Source organism: Homo sapiens, chromosome 9 (assembly GCF_000001405.40).
Source record: "Homo sapiens chromosome 9, GRCh38.p14 Primary Assembly".
Taxonomy (NCBI): domain Eukaryota; kingdom Metazoa; phylum Chordata; class Mammalia; order Primates; family Hominidae; genus Homo; species Homo sapiens.
In genome coordinates, this window is record NC_000009.12 from 83,221,013 (window position 1) to 83,240,327 (window position 19,315).

General features: G+C 39.3%; 1 long non-coding RNA gene across 2 annotated transcripts in view, besides 1 other annotated feature; it reads left to right on the forward strand.

Annotated features, from left to right (window-relative positions):
• FRMD3-AS1 (FRMD3 antisense RNA 1) overlaps positions 1-19,315 on the forward strand; it is a 51,489-nt gene that overhangs the window by 1,668 nt on the left and 30,506 nt on the right. The window contains exon 2 of one of the 2 annotated variants that reach the window (NR_184120.1): positions 12,704-12,907. This is a non-coding gene — a long non-coding RNA (FRMD3 antisense RNA 1). Of the gene's footprint in view, positions 1-12,703; positions 14,052-19,315 lie in introns of those variants that run through there. The other variant, NR_184121.1, reaches the window with a different exon arrangement.
• Positions 6,756-7,457: an enhancer, noted in NCBI's record as "NANOG-H3K27ac-H3K4me1 hESC enhancer chr9:85842683-85843384 (GRCh37/hg19 assembly coordinates)". NCBI's record gives its function as "activates a minimal SCP1, AML or CMV promoter by ChIP-STARR-seq in primed H9 embryonic stem cells {active_cell/tissue: H9 hESC(primed)}" and the evidence as "EXISTENCE:reporter gene assay evidence [ECO:0000049][PMID:30033119]".

A 19,315-nucleotide genomic window follows, 5' to 3' on the forward strand; every position in this document is an offset into this window, starting at 1 on the left:
TTGCTGATAGAGAAAAAGAAAAACCTTGAGGCAGTTAGAAAATAGTTTATTCTTTAACTGTAGGGGCTGTAGGACTTAACCCTTGCCTACTACCACCTTAGGTCTTGTTTATAATTTGGTATCTTATTACCACAAAGAGTCCATTCTGTCAGCTTATGACCTCTATTTTAGCAACATAAAATAAGAGCAGCTTTTTCTACATCACGTAGAATGCACTTCCTCCAATTCAAACTTCCAAATCATGAATTATTGCTAAAAGGAGGTGAAAGGGCTGAGAAGGTTAGGGCCAAGTGAGCAGACCACAGTATATCCTTTGGGATAATAAATGTCATTTTACATAAGAAAGAGACCCATGGTCAAATAAGTGTGTAAAATACTTGATTAAATGTATTTCTTTACTGCAGGACTTTTTTTCAGAAATTTTAGAAAGCAAATATATATTGTGACTCTTCAAGTTAAAGTTATACTTACAGCATTTCTCACATTTATTTCCTGTGAAACTTTTTTGTACAATGACTTGCAGAGCAACTATTCCACAGAACATACTTTGGAAAACACTAAACTGGAACACCAATGACCTCCCCAAGAGGTCTCCGTAAGGTAGAATGGTAGACAGCTGTTGGACACGTCTGGTTTTTCAAAGTGGCAAAATAGTTTTGGGCTGTCTTCCTCAAGAGGGGGATGGGAGAAGCCTTTTGAAACAGAGTAGATAAAGAATTAATTTGGCAGGGAGGACAAACTTACATTATGTTTCAGATGCTCAACATTATTTAATTCTCAAAATTGCTGTCTCAAATGGATACGGTTATCCCCACTTTACAAGCAACAAAACTGACATTCATGAATTAGTCAAATGCCACCTTCAAGCTCACATAGCCAGGAAGTGATAGCACTGGTATTTGGAGCCAAATCTTTAGTATAGTACAGTGAAGAACCCAAGCCCAGTAGCAGGGCAGCCAGCAGGGGCTCTGGAAGAACTGATTTTGTTTTCATGGTCACTTGAGTAATTCATGAAGAGTGAGAGTAGTGGGTAGTCTGCTCTCAAATAGTGAGCAGAAGAAAGTCCCCAGTATCGTCTTCTGATGATGGGCAGGGGATAATCCTTCTTTGAAAGATATATGGTCAGGAAAAATTGTGAAATTCGTTTTGCTAGAAGTTCAGTTGCAAATACAGACATATCTCAAAGATGTTGTGGGTTCAGGTTCCAGACCACTGCAATAAAGTGACCGTCACAATAAAGCAAGTCACACAAATGTTATGGTTCCCCAGTGCATATAAAAGTTACATTTACATGATACTGTAGTTTTTTTAAGTGTGCAATAGCATTATGTCTTAAAAAAAGTACATACTTTAATTTAAAGGTAATTTCTTGCTAAAAAATGCTAATGATCATCTGAGCTTTCAGTGAGTCATAATCTTTTTGCTGGTGGAGGGTCTTGCCACAATATTGATGGCTAACTAATTATCAGAGTGGTGGTTGCTAGAAGTTGGAGCAGCTGTGGCAATTTCTTAAAATAAGACAACAATGAAGTTTGTTTCAGCTATTGACTCTTCCTTTTATGAAAGATTTCTCTGTTTGATAGCATTTTGCCCACAGTATAACTTCTTTAAAATTGGAGTCGGTCCTCCCAAATCGTGCCACTGACGGATCAATTAGGTTTGTTGTCATTTCAACAATGTTCACAGCACCTTCACCAGGATTCCATCTCAACAAACCATTTCCTTTGCTTCTACATAAGAAGCAACTCCTCGTCTGTTCAAGTTTTATCATGAGATAGCCACAATGCAGTGGCACCTTCAGGTTCCGCTTGTCATTCTAGTTTCCTCGCTATTTCTTTTTTTTTTTTCTAGTCGCAAAATTGAATATTTTATTTTGAGATGTTAATTTTCTTTTTTATTTATTTATTTATTTATTTATTTATTTATTTATTTTTATTATACTTTAAGTTTTAGGGTACATGTGCACATTGTGCAGGTTAGTCACATATGTATACATGTGCCATGCTGGTGCACTGCACCCACTAACTCATCATCTAGCATTAGGTATATCTCCCAATGCTATCCCTCCCCCCTCCCCCCACCCCACAACAGTCCCCAGAGTGTGATATTCCCCTTCCTGTGTCCATGTGATCTCATTGTTCAATTCCCACCTATGAGTGACAATATGCGGTGTTTGGTTTTTTGTTCTTGCGAGTTTACTGAGAATGATGCTTTCCAATTTCATCCATGTCCCTACAAAGGACATAAACTCATCATTTTTTATGGCTGCATAGTATTCCATGGTGTGTATGTGCCACATTTTCTTAATCCAGTCTATCATTGTTGGGCATTTGGGTTGGTTCCAAGTCTTTGCTATTGTGAATAATGCCGCAATAAACATACGTGTGCATGTGTCTTTATAGCAGCATGATTTACAGTTCTTTGGGTATATACCCAGTAATGGGATGGCTGGGTCAAATGGTATTTCTAGTTCTAGATCCCTGAGGAATCGCCACACTGACTTCCACAATGGTTGAACTAGTTTACAGTCCCACCAACAGTGTAAAAGTGTTCCTATTTCTCCACATCCTCTCCAGCACCTGTTGTTTCCTGACTTTTTAATGATTGCCATTCTAACTGGTGTGAGATGGTATCTCATTGTGGTTTTGATTTGCATTTCTCTGATGGCCAGTGATGATGAGCATTTTTTCATGTGTTTTTTGGCTGCATAAATGTCTTCTTTTGAGAAGTGTCTGTTCATGTCCTTCGCCCATTTTTTGATGGGGTTGTTTGTTTTTTTCTTGTAAATCTGTTTGAGTTCATTGTAGATTCTGGATATTAGCCCTTTGTCAGATGAGTAGGTTGCGAAAATTTTCTCCCATTTTGTAGGTTGCCTGTTCACTCTGATGGTAGTTTCTTTTGCTGTGCAGAAGCTCTTTAGTTTAATTAGATCCCATTTGTCAATTTTGTCTTTTGTTGCCATTGCTTTTGGTATTTTAGACATGAAGTCCTTACCCATGCCTATGTCCTGAATGGTAATGCCTAGGTTTTCTTCTAGGGTTTTTATGGTTTTAGGTCTAACGTTTAAGTCTTTAATCCACCTTGAATTGATTTTTGTATAAGGTGTAAGGAAGGGATCCAGTTTCAGCTTTCTACATATGGCTAGCCAGTTTTCCCAGCACCATTTATTAAATAGGGAATCCTTTCCCCATTGCTTGTTTTTCACAGGTTTGTCAAAGATCAGATAGTTGTAGATATGTGGCGTTCTTTCTGAGGGCTCTGTTCTGTTCCATTGATCTATATCTCTGTTTTGGTACCAGTACCATGCTGTTTTGGTTACTGTAGCCTTGTAGTATAGTTTGAAGTCAGGTAGTGTGATGCCTCCAGCTTTGTTCTTTTGGCTTAGGATTGACTTGGCGGTGCGGGCTCTTTTTTGGTTCCATATGAACTTTAAAATAGTTGTTTCCAATTCTGTGAAGAAAGGCATTGGTAGCTTGATGGGGATGGCATTGAATCTGTAAATTACCTTGGGCAGTATGGCCATTTTCACGATATTGACTCTTCCTACCCATAAGCATGGAATGTTCTTCCGTTTGTTTGTATCCTCTTTTATTTCCTTGAGCAGTGGTTTGTAGTTCTCCTTGAAGAGGTCCTTCACATCCCTTGTAAGTTGGATTCCTAGGTATTTTATTCTCTTTGAAGCAATTGTGAATGGGAGTTCACTCATGATTTGGCTCTCTGTTTGTCTGTTGTTGGTGTATAAGAATGCTTGTGATTTTTGTACATTGATTTTGTATCCTGAGACTTTGCTGAAGTTGCTTATCAGCTTAAGGAGATTTTGGGCTGAGACAATGGGGTTTTCTAGATAAACAATCATGTCGTCTGCAAACAGGGACAATTTGACTTCCTCTTTTTCTAATTGAATACCCTTTATTTCCTTCTCCTGACTAATTGCCCTGGCCAGAACTTCCAACACTATGTTGAATAGGAGTGGTGAGAGAGGGCATCCCTGTCTTGTGCCAGTTTTCAAAGGGAATGCTTCCAGTTTTTGCCCATTCAGTATGATATTGGCTGTGGGTTTGTCATAGATAGCTCTTATTACTTTGAAATACATCCCATCAATACCTAATTTATTGAGAGTTTTTAGCATGAAGCGTTGTTGAATTTTGTCAAAGGCTTTTTCTGCATCTATTGAGATAATCATGTGGTTTTTGTCTTTGGCTCTGTTTATATGCTGGTACATTTATTGATTTGCGTATATTGAACCAGCCTTGCATCCCAGGGATGAAGCCCACTTGATCATGGTGGATAAGCTTTTTGGTGTGCTGCTGGATTCGTTTTGCCAGTATTTTATTGAGGATTTTTGCATCAATGTTCATCAAGGATATTGGTCTAAAATTCTCTTTTTTGGTTGTGTCTCTGCCCGGCTTTGGTATCAGAATGATGCTGGCCTCATAAAATGAGTTAGGGAGGATTCCTTCTTTTTCTGTTGATTGGAATAGTTTCAGAAGGAATGGTACCAGTTCCTCCTTGTACCTCCGGTAGAATTCGGCTGTGAATCCATCTGGTCCTGGACTCTTTTTGGTTGGTAAACTATTGATTATTGCCACAATTTCAGCTCCTGTTATTGGTCTATTCAGAGATTCAACTTCTTCGTGGTTTAGTCTTGGGAGAGTGTATGTGTCGAGGAATTTATCCATTTCTTCTAGATTTTCTAGTTTATTTGCGCGGAGGTGTTTGTAGTATTCTCTGATGGTAGTTTGTATTTCTGTGGGATTGGTGGTGATATCCCCTTTATCATTTTTTATTGTGTCTATTTGATTCTTCTCTCTTTTTTCTTTATTAGTCTTGCTAGCGGTCTATCAATTTTGTTGATCCTTTCAAAAAACCAGCTCCTGGATTCATTAATTTTTTGAAGGGTTTTTTGTGTCTCTATTTCCTTCAGTTCTGCTCTGATTTTAGTTATTTCTTGCCTTCTGCTAGCTTTTGAATGTGTTTGCTCTTGCTTTTCTAGTTCTTTTAATGGTGATGTTAGGGTGTCAATTTTGGATCTTTCCTGCTTTCTCTTGTGGGCATTTAGTGCTATAAATTTCCCTCTACACACTGCTTTGAATGCGTCCCAGAGATTCTGGTATGTTGTGCCTTTGTTCTCGTTGGTTTCAAAGAACATCTTTATTTCTGCCTTCATTTCGTTATGTACCCAGTAGTCATTCAGGAGCAGGTTGTTCAGTTTCCATGTAGTTGAGCGGTTTTGAGTGAGATTCTTAATCCTGAGTTCTAGTTTGATTGCACTGTGGTCTGAGAGATAGTTTGTTATAATCTCTGTTCTTTTACATTTGCTGAGGAGAGCTTTACTTCCAAGTATGTGGTCAATTTTGGAATAGGTGTGGTGTGGTGCTGAAAAAAATGTATATTCTGTTGATTTGGGGTGGAGAGTTCTGTAGATGTCTATTAGGTCTGCTTGGTGCAGAGCTGAGTTCAATTCCTGGGTATCCTTATTGACTTTCTGTCTCGTTGATCTGTCTAATGTTGACAGTGGGGTGTTAAAGTCTCCCATTATTAATGTGTGGGAGTCTAAGTCTCTTTGTAGGTCACTCAGGACTTGCTTTATGAATCTGGGTGCTCCTGTATTGGGTGCATATATATTTAGGATAGTTAGCTCTTGTTGTTGAATTGATCCCTTTACCATTATGTAATGGCCTTCTTTGTCTCTTTTGATCTTTGTTGGTTTAAAGTCTGTTTTATCAGAGACTAGGATTGCAACCCCTGCCTTTTTTTGTTTTCCATTTGCTTGGTAGATCTTCCTCCATCCTTTTATTTTGAGCCTATGTGTGTCTCTGCACGTGAGATGGGTTTCCTGAATACAGCACACTGATGGGTCTTGACTCTTTATCCAATTTGCCAGTCTGTGTCTTTTAATTGGAGCATTTAGTCCATTTCCATTTAAAGTTAATATTGTTATGTGTGAATCTGATCCTGTCATTATGATGTTAGCTGGTTATTTTGCTTGTTAGTTGATGCAGTTTCTTCCTAGTCTCGATGGTCTTTACATTTTGGCATGATTTTGCAGTGGCTGATACTGGTTGTTCCTTTCCATGTTTAGAGCTTCCTTCAGCAACTCTTTTAGGGCAGGCCTGGTGGTGACAAAATCTCTCAGCATTTGCTTGTCTGTAAAGTATTTTATTTCTCCTTCACTTATGAAGCTTAGTTTGGCTGGATATGAAATTCTGGGGTGAAAATTCTTGTCTTTAAGAATGTTGAATATTGGCCCCCACTCTCTTCTGGCTTGTAGGGTTTCTGCTGAGAGATCCGCTGTTAGTCTGATGGGCTTCCCTTTGAGGGTAATCCGACCTTTCTCTCTGGCTGCCCTTAACATTTTTTCCTTCATTTCTACTTTGGTGAATCTGACAATTATGTGTCTTGGAGTTGCTCTTCTCAAGGAGTATCTTTGTGGTGTTCTCTGTATTTCCTGAATCTGAACATTGGCCTGCCTTGCTAGATTGGGGAAGTTCTCCTGGATAATATCCTGCAGAGTGTTTTCCAACTTGGTTCCATTCTCCCCATCACTTTCAGGTACACCAATCAGACGTAGATTTGGTCTTTTCACATAGTCCCATATTTCTTGGAGGCTTTGCTCATTTCTTTTTATTCTTTTTTCTCTAAACTTCCCTTCTCGCTTCATTTCATTCATTTCATCTTCCATTGCTGGTACCCTTTCTTCCAGTTGATCGCATCAGCTCCTGAGGCTTCTGCATTCTTCACATAGTTCTCGAGCCTCGGTTTTCAGCTCCATCAGCTCCTTTAAGCACTTCTCTGTATTGGTTATTCTAGTTATACATTCTTCTAGATTTTTTTCAAAGTTGTCAACTTCTTTGCCTTTGGTCTGAATGTCCTCCCGTAGCTCAGAGTAATTTGATCGTCTGAAGCCTTCTTCTCTCAGCTCGTCCAAGTCATTCTCCATCCAGCTTTGTTCCCTTGCTGGTGAGGAACTGCGTTCCTTTGGAGGAGGAGAGGTGCTCTGCTTTTTAGAGTTTCCAGTTTTTCTGTTCTGTTTTTTCCCCATCTTTGCGGTTTTATCTACTTTTGGTCTTTGATGATGGTGATGTACAGATGGGTTTTCGGTGTGGATGTCCTTTCTGTTTGTTAGTTTTCCTTCTAACAGACAGGACCCTCAGCTGCAGGTCTGTTGGAATACCCTGCCCTGTGAGGTGTCAGTGTGCCCCTGCTGGGGGGTGCCTCCCAGTTAGGCTGCTCGGGGGTCAGGGGTCAGGGACCCACTTGAGGAGGCAGTCTGCCGGTTCTCAGATCTCCAGCTGCGTGCTGGGAGACCCATGGCTCTCTTCAAAGCTGTCAGACAGGGACATTTAAGTCTGCAGAGGTTACTGCTGTCTTTTTGTTTGTCTGTGCCCTGCCCCCAGAGGTGGAGCCTACAGAGGGAGGCAGGCCTCCTTGAGCTGTGGTGGGCTCCACCCAGTTCCAGCTTCCCAGCTGCTTTGTTTACCTGAGCAAGCCTGGGCAATGGCAGGCGCCCCTCCCCCAGCCTCGCTGCCACCTTGCAGTTTGATCTCAGACTGCTGTGCTAGCAATCAGCGAGACTCCGTGGGCGTAGGACCCTCCGAGCCAGGTGCCGGATATAATCTCATGGTGCGCTGTTTTTTAAGCCGGTCAGAAAAGCACAGTATTCAGGTGGGAGCGACCCGATTTTCCAGGTGCCGTCCGTCACCCCTTTCTTTGACTCGGAAAGGGAACTCCCTGACCCCTTGCGCTTCCCAAGTGAGGCAATGCCTCGCCCTGCTTCGGCTCACGCACGGTGCGCGCACCCACTGACCTGCGCCCACTGTCTGGCACTCCCTAGTGAGATGAACCCGGTACCTCAGATGGAAATGCAGAAATCACCCTTCTTCTGCGTCGCTCACGCTGGGAGCTGTAGACCGGAGCTGTTCCTATTCGGCCATCTTCATTTCCTCGCTATTTCTAACGCATCTGCAGTGCTTGTCCCCGCTGAAGTCTTGAACTCAAAGTCATTCAGGATGATTGGAATCCACGTCTTCCAAATTTATGTTAATGTTGACAATTTGATCTCCTTTCATGAGTCACAATGTTCATTTTTGTTATTATTTTTATTTTAGATTCAGGGGTACATGTGTAGGTTTGTTACATGGATATATTGTATAATGGTGAAGTTTGGGCTTCAAGTGAACAAATCACCCAAATATTGAACATTCTACTCAATAGGTATAACCCATGAAATCAACCCTCACCAACCCCTCTTCCACCCTCCCCCATTTTGGAAACCCTAGTGTTTGTTGTTTCCAAATTTATGTGCATGTGTACCCATTGTTTAGCTCCCACTTGTAAGTGAGAAGACACAGTATTTGATTTTCTGTTTCTGAGTTATTTCACCTAGGATAATGGCCTCCAGCTCCATCCATGTTGCTGCAAAGGGCATAAGTTCATTCTTTTAGAAAGCTGTATAGTATTCCATGGTTTCTATATACCACATTTTCTTTATCCAATCAAACATTGATGGACACTTAGGTTGATTCCATGACTTTGCTATTGATGAACATAAATATTCTCAGTGGCATCTAGAATGGTAAATCCTTTCCAGAAGCTTTTCCATTTATCCAGATCCATCAGTGGAATCACTATCCATGGAAACTATAGCCTTCCAAAGTTTATTTATTAAATAATAAGACTTGGAATTCAAAATTACTCCTTAATCAATGGGCTACAGAATGGATGTGATGTTAGCAGGCAAGAAAACAACACTGATCTCCTTGTACATCTCCATCAGAGCTCTTGGGCGACCAAGTGCATTGTCAATTAACAGTAATATTTTTTAAAGAAATCTTCTTTTCTGAGCAGTAGGTCTCAACCGTGTGCTTAAAATATTCAGTGAGACATGATGAAAACAGATGTGCTCTCATCCAGGCTTTGTTGTTCCATTTATAAAGCACAGGCAGAGCAAATTTAGCATAATTCTTAAGGGCTCTAAGGATTTTCTAAATGGTAAACAGACATTGGATTCAACTTAAGGTCACCAGCTGCATTAGCCCCTAACAAGAGAGTCAGCCTGTCCTCTGAAGGTTTGAAATCAGGTATTGATTTCTCCTCTCTACCTGTGAAAGTTCTAGATGGCATCTTCTTCCAATAGATGACTGTTTTGTCTACATTGAAAATTGGTTGTTTAGTGTAGCCACCTTCATCAATGACCTTAGCTAGAGATCAATAACACTTGCTGCTTCACCTTGCACATTTATGTTATGGAGGCGGCTTCTTCAACTTCATGAATCAAACCATTGTTAGTTTTCAACTTTTCTTCTTCAGCTTCTGCGCCCCTCTCAGCCTTCATAGACTTGAAGATCTAGGTCCTTGCTCTGGATCAGGTTTTGGCTTAAGGGAATGTTGTGGCTGGTTTGACCTTCTATCCAAAACACTAAAACTTTTTCCATCTCAGCAGTAAGGCTGTTTTGCTTTCTTATCATTAGTATGTTCACTGGAGTAGCACTTGCAATTTTCTTTAAGAACTTTTTCTGTGCATTCACAACTTGGCTAACTGGTGCAAGAGGCCTAGCTATTGGCCTATCTCAGTTTTCAACATGTCTTCACCACTAGGCCTAATCATTTCTAGCTTTTGTTTTAAAGTGAGAGATGTGTAACTCTTCCTTACACTTGAACACTTAGAGAGGCCATTGTAGGGTAATTACTTGGCCTAATTTCAATATTGCTGTATCTCAGGGAATAGGGAGGCCTGGGGCAAAGGAGAAAGATGGGGGAACAGCTGGCAGCTGGTCAGTGAGGCAGTCAAGACACATACAACATTTACTAATTAAGTTCACTGTCTTCTGGGGGTTTGGTTCGTGGTTCCCCAAAACAACTACAATGGAACATCGAAGATCATCGATCACAGACAACCATAACAGATACAATACTAATGAGAAAATTTGAAATATTGTGAGAATTACCAAAATGTGACACAAAGACACCAAGTGAGCACATGCTATTGGAAAAATGGCGCCGACAGACTTATTGACGCAGGGTGTGCCTTCAAAGTAAAAAACAACAATATCTGCAAAGCACAATAAAGCAGAGCACAGTGGAATGAAGCATGTCTGTAAAGGAAACCTGTATGCAAGCAAAGAGGCAGAGATCAAAGGGAGCCAGTCCTACTTAAATAGAAAGTAATGTCTAAGAAGAAGATAGGGCACATGCCTTTCTCTTGTCCTTGGAGCTATTTATGGAGCTCCCCCTGGAGGAAGATAGGGCACATGCCTTTCTCTTGTCCTTGGAGCTATTTATGGAGCTCCCCCTGGAGGAACGTAGACTCTTTCCTTCAAGCTAGAATTAGCATGTCTGCAAAAGGATTTAGATGATCTGCTGCTGGTGGAGGAGTAGAGCAGTCCATGTGGACTCCCATGAAGGGAGCAATTTGCACCCAACTTAAATTTGATCTGGACACAACAAGCCAAACTTTTGGAAACTTAATCCTTTGGCAGGACCTGTGGGCTAGGGGCCCAAGACATGATGGGCATGCTGTTTAGAGAAGCCAAAAATCAGCAGTTGAAAAGAGAAACTGACTTTTGTTGCAGTTGGAACTAAAGCAACGGGCCACACCAAGAGGCCAATGGGATGGCCAACAGCTGGGTCCCAGGGACAAGATTCTGAGGCTGTGCGTCAGAAGAATTGGATGCTTGCAGCCAACTAGGATACATAAAATAGTAGAATGGAGAAGTCATGTGCCAGAGTAAATAGGGTCTTCCTAAAATGAGAGCCTCTCCTGCCATAGGGGATGTTAGAGGTAGGCATTTGGTAGCAGCAGAAAGCCTGGGATCAAGACAGATAGGTGTATTTTCATTGTGAAAAACTATAAAGCAGAACACTCTGAGAGACCCTCTGCTTAGTCCTTCTGCCCCACATTGAAGGACTTAGCATTATTCCAATTCTGAAAAATTAAAATCCAAAGTTAGCATTGGTTATTCCTGGGGAGTAAGATTATGGGTGGTTTTTATTTTGCTCTTTGTAACTTTCTTTACCAATTCTTTATCAAGCCTACTGCCATGGATCTGGATTCTTTTCATCATCAATTGTTTTAATTGGAAAGAAGGCAGAGCCTTTTTTGTAATGAAAGACCCAAATGAAGTGAATTTTAGAGAATAAGTTATAGAAATGTCTGGCCTTTTGTGTGTGTGTGTGTGTGTGTGTGTGTGTGTGTGTGTATCTGTACACACATACATAGAAAGAGAGAAAAACAGAAAGGCAAAGAACATTCCACTTCAGGAAGACTTAGCACAGTCCGGAGAAACTATCCCATGGAAGAGGAAGGAAGTTTTAGGGCTGATTGAACCCTCTGAAAAAGTGCCAATAGGGAAAAATATTTGAAGATGGCCTTGGCTATGTTTTCTATTCTATGGTCTTCTATATCACTTCTCCAACTCATGGGAACCAACTCACACTGGAAGACACAGAAGCTAAATTTGACTATGCTCTCTATCCCCCTAAATTCCCTCCTTTGGTACATTCCCTTTTCCAAAACCTTCCCTATAATTCCTTCTGCTTAAAATCACTTCCTCCACCGAAGAATATGTTTACCAAGCTCCTTGTTCAAGGCAGGGACACCTTTATAGAATATCTTTCCTAGGCCCCATAGTTGACTGAATCTCTGAGACCCAGGTTAGCCTTCTACCAACAATCCTGACCACATGCTCAGCAGCATGGCGGCCACTGGAATAGGAATCACTGGTATGTCCCTGCCCCACTACTGCCCTAGCTTGGGCCTTCCTCCCCTCCTTCAGATAGCTCTGCCACCCCCACTCCCCCTCTCCTCTGCAGCTCAATTTAAAGGCCAGAGCAGGTAAGGTCTGCAGCAGCGTCCCAGTGGATAGATCTGAAAACTGGAGGGCACAAGGCTTCTCTGCCCCCCTACCCACATAATCCACTACCTAATTGACCCTTACTCTGTGGACAGAAGGCCTATCTGGCTATTGCAGCTTCCCCAGTACCACCGATGTCCATTCTGCCTCTGTTAGGGCTCCCTCCTGCTGTTCCATACTCTGTGCCCAGGAGGGCTGTCCTGTGCGTTCGGTCCACAATGGCCCCTTTCTGTTCTTCAGGCATTCCATCATGCTCCCCCTCAACCCTGGATGCCAATCCTCCACATGCCCACACAGTTAACTCCCGCACCCCCAAGGTTATTTTTCAACCCTCACCCCTGACTTCTGGCATCCCCCATTTTGGAATCCCCAGTGTCTATTGTTTACAACTTTATGTCCATATGTACCCATTGTTTAGCTCCCATTTACAAATGAGAACATACAGTATTTGATTTTCTGTTTCTGAGTTATTTTACTTAGAATCATGGTCTCTACCTCACTGAAAAAGAGAGGCCTCCCCAATCACATGCCCCAGCACTTCTTTTCCCCATCCTCACTTATTATTTCTCTTTTGCATTTATCACTATCTGATACTTTTCTTGTGTATTTTTTATGTAATGCTTTTCTTAGGAATTTCTTATTTAGTTACTGTCTGTATCCTCCCACTAGAATTTAAGCTCCATGATAGCTAGGATTTTTATCTGCTTATTCACTGTTACATGTTTTACACCCAATGGGGAATATATATATATATATATGGAGAGAGAGAGAGAGAGAGAGAGAAAGAGAGAGAGATCAGTAGCCCAGCTTCTGATCTGTTTTGTTTGTACTTTTCACTCATTTTCACACAGTGACACTGACTGCCGGGTAACTGTCTCTCAGGACATTTGTGCTTTGAGTCTCTGCAACTCTGGACCATCTCTGCAGGCTAAAAGATGTGCCTGTTGCTAAGAGGAGGAGCCCTGCAGCAGGAATCCGGTGCCAGCTGACCTGGAACAACCTGATCTCCAGAAAGCATCCCTGTTATACTCAAATGGGCCTTCCAGATGAGCCCTGTAAGGATATGCATGATAGCAAAAGCTCAGGACAGCCTTTTTATGTTACTGTTGTTCTTAACTTTTGACTTACTCCCTTTAGGGATCCAGCCTTTACTGTTGTTCTTAACTTTTGACTTATTCTCTTTAGGGATCCAGCCTTTCTTTGACTATGAACCTAAACGTAAGAAAGAGAAGTTTCTTGACTCCCTAAAAACGAGTCATAATGCTTTCTGAAACTGAGTCTCTTCTGCTTCTGGAAACTGAGTCTTAGTGCAAAGAAATCCCTCTGTATTTTCTTGATTTCCATCTTGATTCTCTATTTTAAAGATAAAATAGCTGTTGCTTTGTGTCTGTGTAGAGTGTGGCAAAAAGAGAGGAAACAGAAAAAGATAAAAGGACCATCTCTCTCACTTTTAAAATCTCTTTTCCTTAAGGTATCCTTGAATATCTCTCTTCATTATGCCCTAAAACATTTTCCCTGCAATTGATGCTATCCAGCCAGTGTTTTTTTAGTAGCACCTATAATTCAAATGCATATAATCCAGAATCCAGCCCTAACTTCACACCTGAGTTTCTAGACCAACTAAACATCCCACAGGTACTTCAGGCTCACTAGATCCAAGTCTAACTCATTATCTTTGTACCAAAACAGTATTTTTTAATTAAAATTTTAAAAAAAATAATTATAAATAAAAAACACTGGCTCTATTGGAACTGAGCCTGGCTAATGACATTGTCTTTTCCCACTCACCCAAACTAGGCATTTAAAAATCAAACTTGACTCCCCCACTCTGACTCTATGCCAATTCTATCAGTCGCTGAGTCACTGTTTGACCCTACTCCAAGCTTTCCAATCTTCTCAGGAACCATGCTGATATCAAGACTGTGTCCTGTGGAATATCTAATATATGTGACACCCGGAGGAGTCATTTTTTAACACCTCCCTTCTCTATACAACAAAATTATTTTCAATAATGGCCATGAGTATGATGATAATTATGTCTTTATAATACGTGTAATTGACAATATCATACATAATTATGGATTATATATATACACAAATAATGCTCAGAAAAACAAAGCAGTGAAAATGTTCTATTAAACTATGTATAATCTTATATATAATTATATAAGTTTCTAAAATAAAAGGAAATGCCTACAACTATTTTTTATTAATTTTTATATCCACCTAAATGGCTGAACTTTGATCCTTTGGTTACAGTCTGATATATTAATATTTACGTAAATGACAGTCCAATAACTAGGTTTAAATAAAACTAAAATGTCTGCAGAAGTATAGTTTAGGCAATTACATTTTAAATTTTTTTAAATGAGATGGACTCTTGCTATGATGCGCAGGCTGATCTCAAACTCCTGAGCTCAAGCCATGCTCCCACCTCGGCCTCCAAAAGTGCTGGGATTACAGGCATGAGCCACTGCGCCCGACCTAATTTAGGCAATTACTAATGTGAGATTTTGTTTTCTTATTTGTTCTTTTGTTTGAAGACAAATAATTAACAATTAAAAAGAATACATTGCAATTTTAAAATGTTATCATATTCAGAAAATATGTATGAAATAAAATTTGCACTTATAAAACAAAAATATTACACTTCATAGTTGGCAAACATTTTAAATTTTAAATTAAAAAATTTTTAAATTGTGATTGAGTCACACTGAATGGTGAAATTAAATGAATTCAAATCCTGTTTCTTCATCTTTGCAATCACTGTGCTATCATTGTTTCTTTCTAATCTACATAGAAATAGGTCTCACCACAGGGGTTGAAGATTCAACTGCACCCAAAGCAAGATCCAGTGTTTCCAAACTGTTAGGAGCTCTTGAAATGGATGTGGGTAACCAAGGCTATTGTGCCAAGGGTTCTGAGAATCAACTTCCACATCGAACATTTATCAAAAGGTAAATAGCACAGGACAGAGGACCAGAAAAAAGAAAGTCACGCAGAGAAAGAAATCAGGAGACCTTGCATTTGTAACTTGACTATACATTTGCAATATACTCCCTACTTTGAACAACTTAGAAAAAAACATTTCTTTCTTACAAACACAGTTTCCTCCTGAAAGGAATTTTGATGTATTCTATTTTCTGATGTCTTACTATTTTGGATGTGTATCCACGTTATAGGCAACGAGATGTTTTGTTTATAAATAAATGTAGAAGAAAAATAGATGTTTTTTAGAAGCAAATTCTGGTTCTTGTTATATCTTCTGAAACTTCCAAATCCAATTTTGTTATGCATTGCCACCATGATGCTATTACTTCAGTAGAACAGGATGTCCTCAAAGAGTGAAATGGTTACGATGAGTCTAGAATGACCTGGAGGTGCCAGATTATGGGCCTTAACTCCTAGCATTTCTCAAGTAGTTACTACATGTCCAAGACTTTGCTAAGGGATTTGCAAATTCTAACTTATTTTTAAATTCCATAACAGCTCTGAGATAAGTGCTGTAGTTAAACATAATTTTAAAGATGAGGATGCCAAGAATTCAAGAGATCAAATGAGTTACCTAAAGTTACACCTAAGAAGAGCAGGAAAGCTGAGACCAGAGCTGAGGCCATCTGGCTGGAGAGCCTGAGCTCTTAGCCATCATATTACACCGACTTTCTGTTCCAGATATGCCAGCTACTTCTATCTTTATATCAGTATCTCCTAGGCAGCAATTTTATACTCTGGCCTTTTGTCATTTTTACAGAAGCACTAATAATGATGCACAAAATTATTTTGTGTAAAAAAATTAAAATTTTTGTTTTTAATAGTTTTTGTAGAATCTATTAAAATATTAATATTCATAGTTCATAAGAAAATATTAATAGTTATTTCATAATAGCTTAAGTAACTATTGAACAAAAGTTAAAAATTTATTAGAAGTAAATATCAATGGTATAAATCAAATTATTTAATCTTTATGCACAAATATTACTTATCGCTAAAATGAAACTGGGTTCAGCATTATCTATTTTTCATTTTGATAGAATTAAGTACTGACAAAACTTGCTGACAAATAGAAATGGAAAGGTTCTTGGTTATAATAAAGCTACTCAACTCGTACTCCTCACAAAATATGTTAAAAAATAACATAGTGAACCACAACAAATATAATTTTTGCTAACAGCTTTGTTGAGCTATAATTAACATACCATAAATAATGCATAAAATTCATTGGTCTTTGTTCACAGAGTCATGCGACCATCGCAACTACATAATTCAAAGAAAAATTTTATCACCCAAAAAAGAAACTCTGTACCTATTAGCAGTCATTCTTCATTCTCCCTACCCGTGGAAATCACTAATCTACTTTCTGTCTCTATAGATTTGCCTATTCTGGACATTTTATATAAATCAAATCATGCAATAGATGGCCTTTTGCTTTTGGCTTCTTTTACTTAGCATAATGTTTTCAAAGTTCATCCATGGTGTAGCGTGTACCAATACTTCATTCATTTTTATGGAATGGATACACTACATTTGTTTATGCAATTTACGAACCGATGGACATACGGGTTGTTTCCACTTCTGTGCTATTATGCAAAGTGCTGCTATGAAAATTACCCATTTTTTTGTGTAAATATATGTTTTCTGTTCTCTTGAGTATATACCTAAGAGTGGAATTGCTGGCTTGTATGGTAACCTTATGCTTAACTTTTTGAAGAACTACGAAACTGTTTTCCAAAGTAGCTGCACAATTTTTTTTTTTTTTAGACGGAGTCCCGCTCTTTCGCCCAGGTTGGAGTGCAGTGGCGCGATCTCGGCTCACTGCAAGCTCTGCCTCCCGGGTTCACGCCATTCTCCTGCCTCAGCCTCCGGAGTAGCTGGGACTACAGGCGCCCGCCACAGCGCCCGGCTAATTTTTTGTATTTTTAGTAGAGACGGGGTTTCACCGTGTTAGCCAGGATGATCTCGATCTCCTGACCTCGTGATCTGCCCGCCTCGGCCTCCCAAAGTGCTGGAATTACAGGTGTGAGCCACCGCGCCCAGCCTAGTAGCTGCACAATTTTACATTTTTACCAGGAATATATGAGGGTTTCAATTTATCCACATCCTCAGCAACACTTCGTGGCCTGTCTTTTTATTATAGCCATTCTTGTGGGTGTAAAGTAGAATCTCAATGTGGCACTGATTTGCATTTCTTTAATGACTAATGATATTGGACATCTTTTCGTGTGCTTACTATCCATTTGCATATTTCCTTTACCAAAATGTCTATTGTGATAACATTTCCTACTTTAAAAATTGGTTATGTTTTTTATTACTGAGTTGTAAGTATTCTTTATGTATTATGGGTACAAATTCATTATCGGATGTATGATTTAAAAATATTTTCATCCCTTCAGTGTTTTGTCTTTTCACTTTTCTTGACAGTGTCTTTTAAAGCACAAAAGTTTTTAAATTTATCTATTACTATCTAATTTACCTATTTTTTATTTTGTCTCTAGTGCTTTTGCTGTCCTTAGAAACCATCCTCTCTAATCAAAGGTTACAAAGATCTGATCTTATGTTTCTTCTAAAAGTTTTGTAAATTTTATTAAACACAAGGTCTCTGATTTATTTTGTGCTAATTTGTGTATACAGTGTGAGAAATTGGTCCAATTTTATGATTTTGCTGTTAGATATCAGTTGTTGAAAAGACTATTCTTTCCCCTTAGAATTGTCTTGTCATCTTGTTCACAATCAATTTTTCACAAATGCATAGTTTTGTTTCTGGACTCTCAGTTCTATTTTACGGATGTATATGTCTATCCTGATGTTGGTACCACACTGTCATGATTACTGCAGCTTTGCATTAGGTTCTGAAATTGGGAAGTGCGAGTCCTTCAACTTTGTTCTTTTTCAATATTATTTTGGTTAGTCTGTACCTTTTACATTTCCATATAAAATTTTAGGACCAATTTGTCAATTTCCACAAAACAGGAAGCTGACATCTGCTAGGGATTGCCTTGAATCTGAAAATCAATTTCAGGAGTATTGCTATCTTAACAATATTAAGTTTTCCATCCACGAACATGTGATGTCTTTTCATTTGTTTAGGTCTTCTTTTTTTCAGTGAAGTTTTGTTGATCACAATGTACAAGTCTTGTTACAGTCAGTAGCTAGTCAGACATGAACAGGGCAGGAAACACCAGGAATGTCAGGCGAACATCAGGTGATGGTCAGGCGGTTCTTAACTGTCTTTCTAAAATAATCGGTCACAGCCAGCACCAGGGAGAGACAATCTCCCAATAGAGAGAAAAAACCTGAAACTGGCTATCAGCAGCTTCCCAAAAAGATCTCAGGAGTTGGACAAATGGGCTCAATCATGCACAATAAGAGACAAAATGGTGGAGTTTAACTGGTACATGACCTTCCTCTACAAACTGGTAAGGGAATGCCTCAAGTGAGCATGTGTGCAATTTCAGTGAACATATTGCACATGCAGCCACATTGTGCATGCAGATAGCTCAGCCCAAGGGAAGACCCAGGGGAGAAGTAATGCAAGACCCTGGAAGCATGCCAATGTATAAAACCCCAAGTTAAAAGGTCAAACAGTGCACTTGATTTCTCAAGTCCCCTGCTTGGCCCTCTTCCAAGTGTACTTTACTTCCTGTCATTCCTGCTGTAAAGCTTTTAAATAAACTGTCACTCCTGCTCTAAATCTTGCTCAGTCTCGCACTCTGTCTTACGCCCCTCAGTTGAATTCAAGTATGATAGCTGTGGAGTTTTCAGTCTTTACTAGATTGAGGATATTTTTTTCTATTCATTGTTCATTTTTTTTTAATTGTGAAAGAGTGTTGGATTTTGTCAAGTGCATTCTCTGCGTCTGTTGAGAGGATCATGCAATTTCTGTCCTTTATTCTACTAACATGGTATATTTCACTGATTGACTTTCATGTGTTAAACAACCTTGCATTCCTGGGATAAATCCCACTTGATCAAGGTATATAATCCTTCCCATATGTTGCTGGATTCAGTTCAATTGTAATTTTTTTGTTGTTAGGGATTTTTTTCATCTATAGTCATAGGATACATTTGTCAGCACTTTTGTTTTCTTGTAATGTCTTTGGTTTTGGCATCAGAATGATACTGACCTCAGAGCATGGGGAATTGCCCCCTCCCTTCTGTTTTTTGGCAGTTTGTGAAGTGCTGTTTGTTTTTTAAGAGTTTGGTATGATTGACCAGTGTAGCTATCATCACCTGCACTTTTCATTGAAGAAATAATTTTTTATTACTAATTCAATCTTTTACTTGTTATAGATCTATTGCAATTTTCCATCTCTTTGTAAGTTAGTTTGTGTCCCTCAAGAAGTTTTTCTGTTTTGTCTAGGTTAGATAAATTGTTAATACACAACTTTTCATAGTGTTTCCTTATATTCCTTTTTATTTCTGGAAGGTCCATAATGACATCCTCTATTTCATTCCTGGTTTTAGTA